Source organism: Homo sapiens, chromosome 1, assembly GCF_000001405.40.
Source record: "Homo sapiens chromosome 1, GRCh38.p14 Primary Assembly".
In the NCBI taxonomy this organism is placed as follows: Eukaryota; Metazoa; Chordata; class Mammalia; order Primates; family Hominidae; genus Homo; species Homo sapiens.
Window position 1 is genome coordinate 113,986,630 of NC_000001.11, and position 12,913 is coordinate 113,999,542.

Sequence of the window (12,913 nt, forward strand, 5' to 3'; positions counted from 1 at the left end):
ACATTGGAAGAAAAATTGTCTTGGACCACACATAAAGTACACTAAGGATAGCTGATGACCTAAAAAAAAAAAAAATCGCAAAAAAAAACCTCATGATGTTTTAAGAAAGTTTACCAATTTGTGTTGGGCTGCATTCAAAGCCATCCTGGGCCACATGTGGCCCACAGGCCAGGGGTTGGACAAGCTTGCCGTAGAGTGCTCTTCCCTGCACATGACCCAGAAGACTCACTAGAATAATGAAAGAATCTCCCCAAAGCCTGGCCCACATCATTCTACCGAGGCTCACTCAAGTCACACCTCCTCCACGACACCTTCCAGACGACCTGGTCAGTTCCACATTCCTGTTCTGTTCATTCATGGTCTGCCGTCTCACCCCATCAGAGCCTGTAGCACAGTGTTCTCAGAGGCAAACTTATGTATTAGAAAGAGCATCAACTTTGGGGTCAGAGCCCCTGGGATCAGAGTCTGGCTCTGCCACTTACCAAAGTTACTTAAGGCCTCATCTATAAAATAATATCTACCCAATAGGATTGTTGCTGTGAGGATTAAGGATGAAATACGCAGATTCTTTAGTAGTGCATGCAATCAGTGTGTGGTAGCTCTGAAACCCCACTTCCTTTGAGAGGATTTTCTGGCCCTTTCTACTGCCAACCACACATGTCAGGACCCTTTGCTATGGGCCCCTGTTCACCCCTGGGCATAGCCCACTTGGAGCCTGTAATGTGCTGCGCTGTTTGCTCATGTTTGTGTCCCCAGGGTTTAACACAGAGCCTGACTCATAACTACTTGTTGAATGTATAAACGCTATATATATCCATGCTTCTCCATCAGGCTGTGAACCCTGGGAACCCTGAGCATGTTTGTCTCCTAACTCAGGACCTAGCTCGGGAGTGGCACATTGCTAGCAAGCAGTACATGTTCTTGGTGGCATTTTTCAAGTCAGTTGGTGTATTAGTCTGTTCTCACGCTGCTAATAAAGACATACCTGAGACAGGGTAATTTATAAAGGAAGGGGGTTTAATTGACTCGCAGTTCCACATGGCTGAGGAGGCCTCACAATCATGGCAGAAGAGTAAGGGACGTCTTACATGGAGGCAGGCAAGAAATTTGTGCAGGGGAACTCACATTTATAAAACCATCATATCTCATGAGACTTACTCATTCCCACAAGAACAGTATGCGGGAAATCATGCCCATGATTCAATTATCTCCACCTGGCCCCACCCTTGACACATGGGGATTATTACAATTCAAGGTGAGATTTGGGTGGGGACACAGCCAAACCATATCAGTTGGACAAAGACAAGCTACAGATAAAAACTGAAAACAGTCGTCTTTCAATTGCAGAAGGCATTGGCCTTCCCACATGATTCCAGTTCAAACATCTAAGGAGAAACTCAAGCTAGGCCAGCACCTTTATGCCCTGAGGCCACAGGGGAGGAGGGTAATAAAGCTGCAGGAGGTAGCGGAAGACCTAGGTGTTCAGCACCGGTTCATAGCAAGGGTCCTGGAGTAGTTGAACCTGTGTTCGCACCCCAGCCTGGTCACTTGCCAGAGTGTGATGTGGTGCAAGTTACTCCACCTCTTCGAGCCTGGTTTCTTCATCTGTGAAATGGATTTAATAGTACTCACTTCAGGGATTGCTGTGAGCATTAAATGAAATAATCTCTATAAAGCAGTGAGCCCAGTATCTGGCACACAGTAGGTGCTCAATATATATTATTGTTATTATTATTTTGAGATGGAGTCTCGCTCTGTCACCCAGGCTGGAGTGCAGTGGTGTGATCTCGGCTCACTACAAGCTCCGCCTCCCGGGTTCACACCATTCTCCTGCTTCAGCCTCCCGAGTAGCTGGGACTACAGGTGCACACCACCACGCCCAGCTAATTTTTGTTGTTGTTTTTTTTTAGTAGAGACAGGGTTTCACCATGTTAGCCAGGATGGTCTTGATCTCCTGACCTCATGATCCACTCACCTTTGCCTCCCAAGGTGCTGGGATTACAGGCGTGAGCCACCATGCCCAGCCTATATTATTATTATTATTGTTACTAATGTCATCATCATTGCATAAGTCTTTTCAGTTAGCAAAGTGCTCTCATATATTTTCTCTCCTTTGATCTGCACAATAATCCCATGAGATAAGCAGGTGTCAGAAACCTGAGGATTATAGAGATGAAATGATTCCTCTAAGGCCACATAACTGATAAGTGTTGGAGCTGGAACCTATGCTACGGAGGCTGTGTGGAGGAGAGTGAAGAGCTGGAGCTCTGAACTCAAGTTGCCTTCAAATCCTTGCTCTGCCACTTGCTAGCAATGTAATCCTGTGCAACCATGCCCTATCTCAGAGACTTGTGAGGAATGGGTGAGCTAGTGTATTAGTCCATTCTTACACTGCTATAAAGAACTGCCTGAGACTGGGCAATGGAAGAAAAGAGGTTTAATTGACTCACAGTTTCCCAGGCTGTACAGGAAGCATGGCTAGGAGGCCTCCAGAAACTTACACTCATGGCAGAAGGGTGAAGGGGAAGCAGGCAAGTCTCACATGGCTAGCAAGAGGAAGAGAGAGCCAAGGGGGATGTGCTACACACTTTTAAACAACCAGATCTCATGAGAACTCACTCACTCTCATGAGAATAGCAAGGAGGAAATCTGCCCCCATGACCCAATCACCTCCCACCAGGTCTTCCCCCAACACTGGGGATTACAATTCACATGAGATTTGGGTAGGGACCAGAGCCAAATCATATCAGCTAGTGTTTATAAAATATCTAGCAGAGCATCTAGAAGAATAGATGTTCAATAAATATTCATTCCTAGGCCCATGACTCTTGCTATTTTATTTTTTGGGGGCAGGAGGACAGGTTCTCACTCTGTCACCCAGGTTGAAGTGAGATCTCAGGTCACTGCAACCTCTGCCTCCCAGGCTCAAGTGATCCTCCCACTTCAGCTGGGACCATAGGCACACGCCACCACACCTGGCTAATTTGACTTTTGCTATCTTGATGTGGAACAGCATGCCAGTGATCATCTCTGCTAGGCATTATAAACCATTTATCCTGACCCAGTGGCCCTTCTGCTCCTTCCTTCTCCATTTGTACACTGTTCTGTAGGAAGACGTGGCACCTTTTTCCCACCACAGATCTCTGTGTTATCAGTAACAGCAGGGTTGACAGGTGCCTTGCACTAGCCATGAGGGAAGAAAGTAAGGTGCACTGACACATCCTCCTTTTCTCTGTGCCTGGACCGCCTCTCCCAGCAGTGATATTGATATGTGTGTGTGTGTGTGTGTGTAGAGAAAGAGAGAGAGAGAGAGAGAGAGAGACAGAGAGAGAGACATTGTGCTCCAAAGCTACATTTTTCCTTCGATCACATTTTCTCTCAAAGATATTTTAGTTTTTCAGCCTGTGTCCCTAAAATTCATCATTACTAACTTTTTGGACTTACCTTACTGTGGATTTTGGCAGATCCTTTGGTGCCATTTTGCTGCACTTCATCTTATGGGTGTTTATTACTGTCCAATTTCACATAATTTTGGTTTTGTAGCTGGTGAATTTTGTGTTCCAGACCTGTAAATCCATGCAGTTGTCAAATGCATGAGCTGTTCTCTATCTATTCTTATTGTGCTTTCTTGGGGAAGGAAGATAGTGTGGAAAGAGCACAGGTGGGAGTAAGATGAACTTTCCATTCCTATGTAATTTGTCCATGTGCTCAGTGTCCTGTCTCTGCTCCTCATTGACCGTGTGACATTGAACCAGATGCTAATCCCTCTGTGCCTCAGTTTGCTCATTTGCAAAACAGGATTTTATTATCTGGATTATCATCACCCACGATCATTGCAGTTCAAGCCCTAATGCATAAAGCATTCAGAACTTCTAGCAAGGACTCTTAGGAATCATGTCCTTTGGCTTCCTCTTCTTATAATGGGAGAAACTGAAGCTCAGAGAGCGTTTTGAGGGCAGGGACCATGCCTTATCCATCTTTCTATCCCCAGGATCCAGACACAGTCTGGTGCATACTGGGTGTCCAACAGATATTTTGTAAATGAGTTGTGTGACCAGCTCCCAGTGACATATTTGTGATTTAGCCCCCTTGATGACTCAGAGTGATTATCCACATCAATCACTACACTGTGCATCCTGCCAGGATGGCTTCAGAACCAATTATGTTATATAGAATGTGGCTGTTATGCTTTTCTACTTATGTTTCCTGCTCTCTTCTCCCTCACTGTCAGCTGTCAGTTCTCCCCGTAGCCACTGGATCCACTTTAAGAAATCTCTGTCACTGTTTTGAATGGGTATCCACTGTAGTCTGGGGCAGAATAGGAGTAAAAGGACTTTGAAAGATTTCAAGTTTGGCGCACATAGAAGGTACCTTTATTGGAGTCACAAGGATTATGGCGGAGTAGACCACAGACTAGAAGCATTGACTATTTTAAGCTGGAAGAGGCCTCACAGTCATCTGATCTGACCTCTTGAAGTCATGCAACTATATCCTAACTCATGCCCCTGTCCAGTTCCTTCTAAGCATGGTGTTAGTTTCCTCAGTGACTTATGAAGCAGGTGCATGTTTTATGCGGGTAATGGTTGAGAAAGTCATGGTTCCACCCCTTGGAATTTCTACCCAATGATCTGGATTCTTAAGCAATTTTCCTCTCAGCACAGAGGAGGTAAACATACGTAGATGTGAGTTTCTCCTCTGATTGCTAATTATGACCTAGCAACTTCCCTCCTTTTCTCCTCTATGTTCTCTCTAGCCCTTTTCAGTCCTGATTGAGGTGAAATATTTTTTTACAGCCATATATTACTTAGAGTTCTAGGGGAAACTCTAAAAATGTAAACTGAAAACACTCAAGGATAATTAAGTAGGGGAGGGGTGACAGAGAGAAATGGTAATTCTATCACTGGATTTCAAGTTGAGATAAGAGTAATTCCATTTAAACCAAACTTCAATATTCACTTGAAAGCCTGTAAATTTCAAGTTTATTAGCCATAAATTGTGATTTATGTCCTGTGGGTTTTTAATGAGGGCAAATGAGGCAGAGAAATGCTCTTATTGATTCATGGTCTGGAAAGGATCTGGCTGGCTTATGCTCTCTTTGAGGGCCATGTAGTTGAAGGGCATGGAGCAGAGGTCCAAGGTTCAAGTTGCAGTTCAGCTATTTTCTGCTTGTGTGATCTCAGTTTCCTCATCTGTAAGATAGCAATGATATTAATATCTCCCTCACGGGGCGGTGCGATGAGTAAATGAGATGATGCGTGTGAATGTGGTTTGTAAATCGTAAGCTACCCAAATGCCAGCTGCTCTCATTATTGATTTAATACCTAGCATTCAGTGTCTAGTGTCTGTGCTGAGTTTTGGGCAGTCAAGGAATGGGACTGGCCAGCAGCCTGTCTGGCAAGGAAAAGCAGAAAGATGTGTGCAAAAGAAAAGTCTTCCTCCTTTCTCACAGGTAAACACCATCCTTAAGTTAATATTATTCCCACGACTTTTTAAAATTTTATTTATTTTATTTTTTATTTAAGACTGGGCCTCTCTATGTTGCCCAGGCTGGTCTCAAACTCCTGACTCAAGCAATCCCCTTCAGCCTCCCAAAGTGCTGGCATTACAAGCATGAGCCACCGGGCTCAGCCCCCATGACCTAAAAAAACATGTTTGTTGTATATATCTTTACTAATATAATTTATATTATTGTTTTGTGTGTTTAAAAAATTCACATCATTCATGCAATAAAAATTGCCACATTATTTTTGAGCTTGCCCAGGATGACACACACTGCTCTGGCTCACTATTTTAACCATCTGTATATGAATATGCCCACTTCCCTGCTGCTGGTCATTTTGGTTGTTGCCATCTCTCACTGCTTGAAATAGTGCTGAGCAAATGATCTCGTCCATGTTTCCCATGCCCATGTGAGAGTGTCCCTCTAGGGGACCCCTAGAAGTGGCAGCTACTGCTGTGTCACTGGTGTGTCTGTCCTCAGTTTTACTGGACATTGCTATAAGACTTTCCGAAGTGAACGTGCCACTCTGTATCCCTGATTCCTTGTGGCCTACTAACACCTAGTGTTACCACATGTGTTGATTTTTGCCAGCTTGATGCATGTAATGTGGTATCTTATTATTATATGAACGATCACATGAAAGAATTTTTAGGGTAAAGGGAAACATTTTAATTTTTTTTCTGGGAGTGATATCTGTAAGATGGCTGGCTAGTGATGCCTAGCGTTCATCCCCTGCACACAAAAGGACCAACACAATGAATAAACAGCAAAGATCTGACCGAAATGTTGAAGAGAGTGGAGAGCTGGAGCGCAGTGGGCGAGTGAAGATATACCTGTGGTGAGGGGAAATCCAGGAGGGCGGCATGGAGGCACCCTGCCTCTGTAGCCTCACATTCTGCATCTGAATCAGATCTGTCCGGAGTCAGGCAGGACTTTCCATTATGAGGAAAAGTGAAGCAGAAGATCTCCACCAGCCCCTGTTGCTGCTGCAAACATTTATAATCCTTACTACAGGAGAATCCCACAGTCCTCACAAGCCCTAGACCAGGTTTGGAGAGCTGCCGGGAACTCAGGCGGCTGCATCACCCAAGATTAGGAGCACAAGGTATACACTTCCCACCCCTCACCCACCACCGTCTGTGAGACAAGCTGCTGCAGCACAGTGCCATCTTGAGACTGCAGCCAACTTTTAGAGTACATCCTCCTCTGGGGGCCGAAAGCCACTGCACCTGCCCAGCACTGGGGCTCCATCTTCATTCAACCAAGCCCAGATGGTTGGCTAAATGGCACAGCACTAGCTGCGTGGAGCCTGGGCTGTGATGCTGGTCCTGCACAGCAGGGAAACCAGGCCCTCAGCCCCATTTCCAGCTGGAGGAACAGTCTGGCAATCCTGCTTAGGGTGAAATCCCCCTTGAACTAGCCAAGCTACTGCATGCCCTTCCTCAAGCAGAAGGGGCCTCCAAGTCTCCAAGCAACTGGTAGACCCCTGAGCCAGCAGAGTGGCTACACTCCCATGCACAAGGCCTGAGAAACAGCCCCGCAGAGCTCCCCACAGCATGCAGATATGTTCCTCAGCTGCCCAATGGTCCTGTGCCCCCAGTAAGGGCCTGAGAAATAGTCCCACAGGCTGCCCCTGGTGTGCACATCCCCAGGCTAGCCAAACATGCAGGAACCCACAACATGGACCTGAGAAACAGTGCCACAGGTCACCCCGTGCAGACATGCATCCAGGCAAGCTGAGAGGACATATGACCATGACCTGGGCTTGAGAAATAGCCCTGGGGGCTGCCCCTGGCAGACATACCCCCAGGCTAGCTGAGCAGCTGTGCACCTGCATCCTGAGCCTAATAAACAGCTCTGTGAGTAGCCCCCAGCAAACATCCCCCCAGGCCAACCAAGAAGTTGTGCAGCTATGTTCTGGGCCTGAGAAACAGCCCTGCAGGCTGCTCCTGGCAGACATGTTCCCAGGCCGGCTGAGCAACTATGTGCCTATGCTTCCAGCCAGAGTAACAGCTCAATGGTCCAAACCTCAGTGAGCCAGACCTCAAGTTGGCCAACCCACCATGTGCACACATGCACTCCTAACTTGAGAAACAGCCTGGCAAGACCACCTGTGGCAAAGCTGCACCACCATTGCAGCTTAGGCCACTGAGCAACTTGCAAACACCATAGTGTGAATTACAGCTGAAGAAACTACATGGAATCTACATTACTGCATCCACCTAGAACCAAGGCCAACATACTACACTGAACTGACACCCCAAGACCCATTCTTATGAATAAGTCTTTCCCTACAAAACCTACTCCATAAAATTGAAAGAGGCAACTTTTCCACCAAATGCATAGAAATCAATGTAGGGACACAACCAATATAAAAAAGAAAGGAAACATGACACCTCCAAAGGAAAATAATAATTCTCCAGTAAAAATCCCAATCATAAGGAAATATATGAAATGCTAGAAAAAGCATTCAAAATAATCATCTTAGGGAAACTCAATAAGATACAGGATTCAGATACACAATTTAATGAAATCAGGAAAACAATTCACAATTTGAATGAGAAATTTAACAGAGACAGATATAAAATGAATCAAATGGAAATTCTAGAATAATTCAATAAATGAAATAAAAAATACAATTGAGAGTTTCAAAAACAGACTAGACCAAGCAGAAGAAAGAATGTCTGAACTTTTCAAAAGGCAGGCCTTTTGAAATAACACAGGCAGATGGAACAAAAAAGAATAATGAATTAAAAAGAATGAAGAGGCCGGGTGTGGTGGCTCACACCTGTAATCCCAGCACTTTGGGAAGCCTAGGTGGGTGGATCACTTGAGGTCAGAAGTTCAAGACCAGCCTAGCCAACATGGTGAAACCCCATCTCTACTATAAATACACAAAGCAGCCAGGTGTGGCAGTACATGCTGTAATCCCAGGTACTTGGGAGGCTGAGGCATGAGGATTGCTTGAACTTGGGAGGCAGCGGTTTCAGTGAGCTGAGATCACGCCACTGCCCTCTTGCCTGGGTGATAGAGTGAGACTCCAGTCTCAAAAAAAAAAAAAAAAAAAGAATGAAGAAAGCTTACAGGACATAACTAAGCAAACAAAATTTTATGTAATGGGTGTTCCAGAAGGAGAAGAGAAGGGAAAGGGTGAGGAAAACATATTTAATGAAATCATAGCAGAAAACTTTCCAAGTCTTGGGAGAGAGATGGACATCCAAGTCCGGAAAGCTCAAAGAACCCCCAAATAGATTCAACCAAAACAGGTCCTCTCCGAGGCACATTATAGTCAAATTGTCAAAAGTCAAAAACAAAGAAAGAATTCTAAAAGCACCAAGAGAAAAGCATCAAGTCAGTTATAAAAGAATCCCCACTGGACTAACAGTGGATTTCTCAGTAGAAACCTTACAGGCCAAGAGAGAATGGGATGATATATTCAAAGTACTAAGAGAAAAGAACTAGACAGCCAAGAATATTATACCCAGCAAAACTATTCTTCAGAAATGAAGGAGAAATAAAATCTTTCACAGATAAGCAAAAACTAAGGGAATTCACCACCACTAGATTGGCCGCATAAGAAATGCTCAAGGGAGTCCTACAGCAAGTGAAAAAATGATAACCACCATCATGAAAACATGTGAAATTCTAAACTCACTGGTAGAGCTGATACACAAAAGAGAAAGAACGGAGTCAAACCTTATCACTACTGGCCAAGCATGGTGGCTCACATTTGTAATCCCAGCACTTTGGGAGGCTGAGGCAGGAGGATTGCTTGAGTCCAGGAGTTCAAGACCAACTTGGGCAATATAGTAAGACACTGTCTTAACAAAAAAAAATAAAAATAAAAAAAATAAAGAAAAAGAAAGAAAAAATTAGCCAGGCATGGTGGCACACACCTGTGATCCCAACTACTCAGGAGGCTGAGGTGAGAGGATTGCTTGAGCCCAGGGAGTGCAGGTTGCAGTGAGCCATGATTGTGCCACTGCACTCCAGCCTGGGTAACAGAGCAAGACCCTGTCTCAAAAACAAAGAAACAGCAACAACAAAACCCTTATCACTATAGAAAACCTTCCAACTGTAAAAATAAATAAGAAGACAGGAAATAAGGAACAAAGGTTACAAAAAATAACCAGAAAACAATCAATAAGATGTCAGGAGTAAGTCATCACCTATCAATACTAACTTTGAATGTATCTGGATTAAATTCCCTATTTAAAATATATGGATTTGTTGAATAAATTTTAAAAAGCAAGACCCAACTATATTCTGCCAACAAGAAACTCACCTCAGCTGTGAACACACAGAGAGACTGAAAGTGAAGGGAGGGAAAAAGGTATTCTCTAAACTAGAAACCAAAACCAAACAGAAGTAGCTGTAATTATATCAGACAAAACAGGTTTCAAGTCAAAAGCTGTAAAAAGGGGCAAATAATACTAAAGGGATCAATTCAGCAAGTGAATATAAAAATTACTATATATGCATCCAACAGCAGAGCACCCAGCTATATAAAGCAAATGTTATTAAACCTAAAGAGATAAAGCTCAGTACGATAATAGCTGGGGACTGCAACACTCCACTTTCAGCATCAGACAAATTATCTAGACAAAAAGTCAATGAAGAAACATTGGATTTAAACTTCACCATAGACAAAATGGACCTAACAGACATTTACAGGATATTTCGGTCAACAGCTGCTGAATACATATTCTTTTCATCAGCACACGGAACATTTTCCAGGACTGACCATATGTTAGGACACAAAACAAGTCTCAAACATTTTTTAAAAATTGAAATCATATCAACTATCTTATCTTACCACAATGGAATAAAACTAAACATCGATAACAAGAGGAACATTTGAAACTATGCAAATATATGAAAATTAAAGTACATGCTCCTGAAATGAAGAAATGAAAAATGAAATTTGAAAATTCCTTGAAACAAATGAATATCGAAACACAATATACCAAAACCTATGGGACACACAAAAGCAATATTAACAGCCAAGTTTATAGCAATAAATACCTACATTAAAAAACTAGAAAAATTTCAAATAAGCAATCTAACAATGCACCTCAAGGAACTAGGAAAGCAAGGACAAACCAAACTCATTAATTAGTAGAGGAAAAGAAATAATAGGCTGGGCATGGTGGCTCACGCCTGTAATCCCAGCACTTTGGGAGGCCAAGGTGGGTGGATCACCTGAGGTCAGGAGTTTGAGACCAACCTGGCCAACATGCTGAAACCTTGTCTCTATTAAAAATACAAAAATTAGCCAAGTGTGGTGGCACACGCCTGTAATCCCAGCTACTTGGGAGGTTGAGGCACGAGAATCTTCTGAACCTAGGATGTAGAGGTTGCAGTGAGCTGAGATCGCTCCACTTCACTCCAGCCTGGGCGATAGAGTGAGATTCTGTCCAAAAAACATTAAAAAAAAGAAATAATAATGACCAATGAAGGAATAAATAAAATTGAGACTAAAAAAATTTTTGTTCAGAGTAACAAAAAGTTGGCTTTAGCTGGGCATGGTGGCTCATGCCTGTAATCCCTCTCTACTTGGGAGGCTAAGGTGAGAGGATCACTTGAGGCCAGGAGTTCAAGACCAGCCTGGGCAATACAGTAATATAGTGAAACCCTATTTCGAAAAAAAATGTGATTTTTTTTTAAAAGATAAACAAAACAGACAAACCATTAGCTAGACTAAGAAAAAAAAGAGAAGACCCAAATAAATATAATGAAAAATGAAAAAGGAGATGTTGCAACAGATACCACAGAAATACAAAGGTTCATTAGAGGTTATTATGAATAGCTACACACAAATAAATCAAAAAACCTAGAGGAAGTGGATAAATTCCTGGACACATACAACCTACTCAGATTGAACCAAAAAGAAACAGAAAACTTGAACAGACCAATAACAAGTAACGAGATTAAATCAGTAATTAAAAAACCTCCCAAGAAAGAAAAGTCCAGGACTGGATGGCTGTACCGCTGAATTCTATTGAACCTTTAAAGAAGAATTAATACCAATTCTCAAATTATTCCAAAAATTGAAACAGCCAGAATTCTTCGTAATCATTCTATGAGGCTAGCATAACTCTGATACCAACACCAGACAATAATATAACAAAAAAGAAAACTTATTTTTTTTTAAGGGAAAAGGTAGGAGCTAGGCAGAGACTAAAGATGTAATGGAGAAAGAGGAGAATGAAACGAGCTTGCTTAGGAGGAGGGAGGAAGAGGAGGAAGGAGAAGGGACAAGGCTTCTCAGAGCTCAGAGCAAGGGGACAGATAGCAAGTGGAAACAGAGTTTATGTCAGAACAAATCCCAATCTTGTTGAGAAGGGAATAGTAAATGAACTGCAGAGGGAAAGAGGATGGGAAGTGGTTCAGAGTCTGAAGAGAGAAGAGCAGGATGTGAATTTGGCGTGAAGCCAGTAAGAGATCATTGAAATATGGCAGAGAGGAAGCGAGGAGCCGCTGGAATCTGCAGTGCACCCACAGCCAGTCTTCTCATTGCCAGCATCTCCGTTTTCTCTTCCTTCTGGACAATATTTGTCAACTACTAACAACTAGCAGCTGCTTTTTTTTTTTTTTTGAGGCCTTACTATGTGCACTTGATAGATATCTTCCCAATTCACAATTACTTGTAATTGTATGATAGGTTTGAAGCAGAAAAGAGTTAAGGATGTTGGTTGGTGTAAGTTTTCTATAAGTAGGTACCATGTGGTGTGGCTGCTCAAAATGATGATACTCTTTAGGCTGCGTTAGTAGGAGCACATTAGTGTGAAGGAGAGCAAACAGTCCTGTGTTATTCTGCTCTGGTCAGGCCAAAGAAGCAATGTTCTTTTCTGTCCCAGGTAAGGGTGATAATCATAACTGCTACTATTCATTAGGCACCTACTATGTGCCAGCTCCCGTGAGATGCTTGCATGCATTCTTTTTAATCCCCAAAACAATCCCAAGAGGTAGATAATATGATCTTCATTTTACAAATAAGAAAACTTAGCCTCCAAGAGTTTCAGTTACATGCCAATGTCCTTAGAGAAAGGAGAAAAATAACACCTACTAAAGAAAGACCTAAGGAATAAGAGTGGTATCTTCAAGTAGCAGAAAGGCCATCATAAGGCAAAGGGACAGTACTGGCCCTTTTTGATCTGGCCATAAAAGGTAGAAATAGGCTCAATGGATGTAAATCACACAAAAAGAAGTTCCACTTAACAAAAGGAAGAACAGTCAGCCATATGACAAAATGTTTTGTGTTACCTTTGGTGGTAGTGAGTTCCCTGTTACTGGAGGTGTTCAAGCAAAGGCTGAATGAATGTTGGGCACAGCTGTACAGAGAATGCAAGCATTAGATGAGGAGTAGAACTAGATGCCCTTCTCGATATTTTCCAACATTCAAATTTTGTT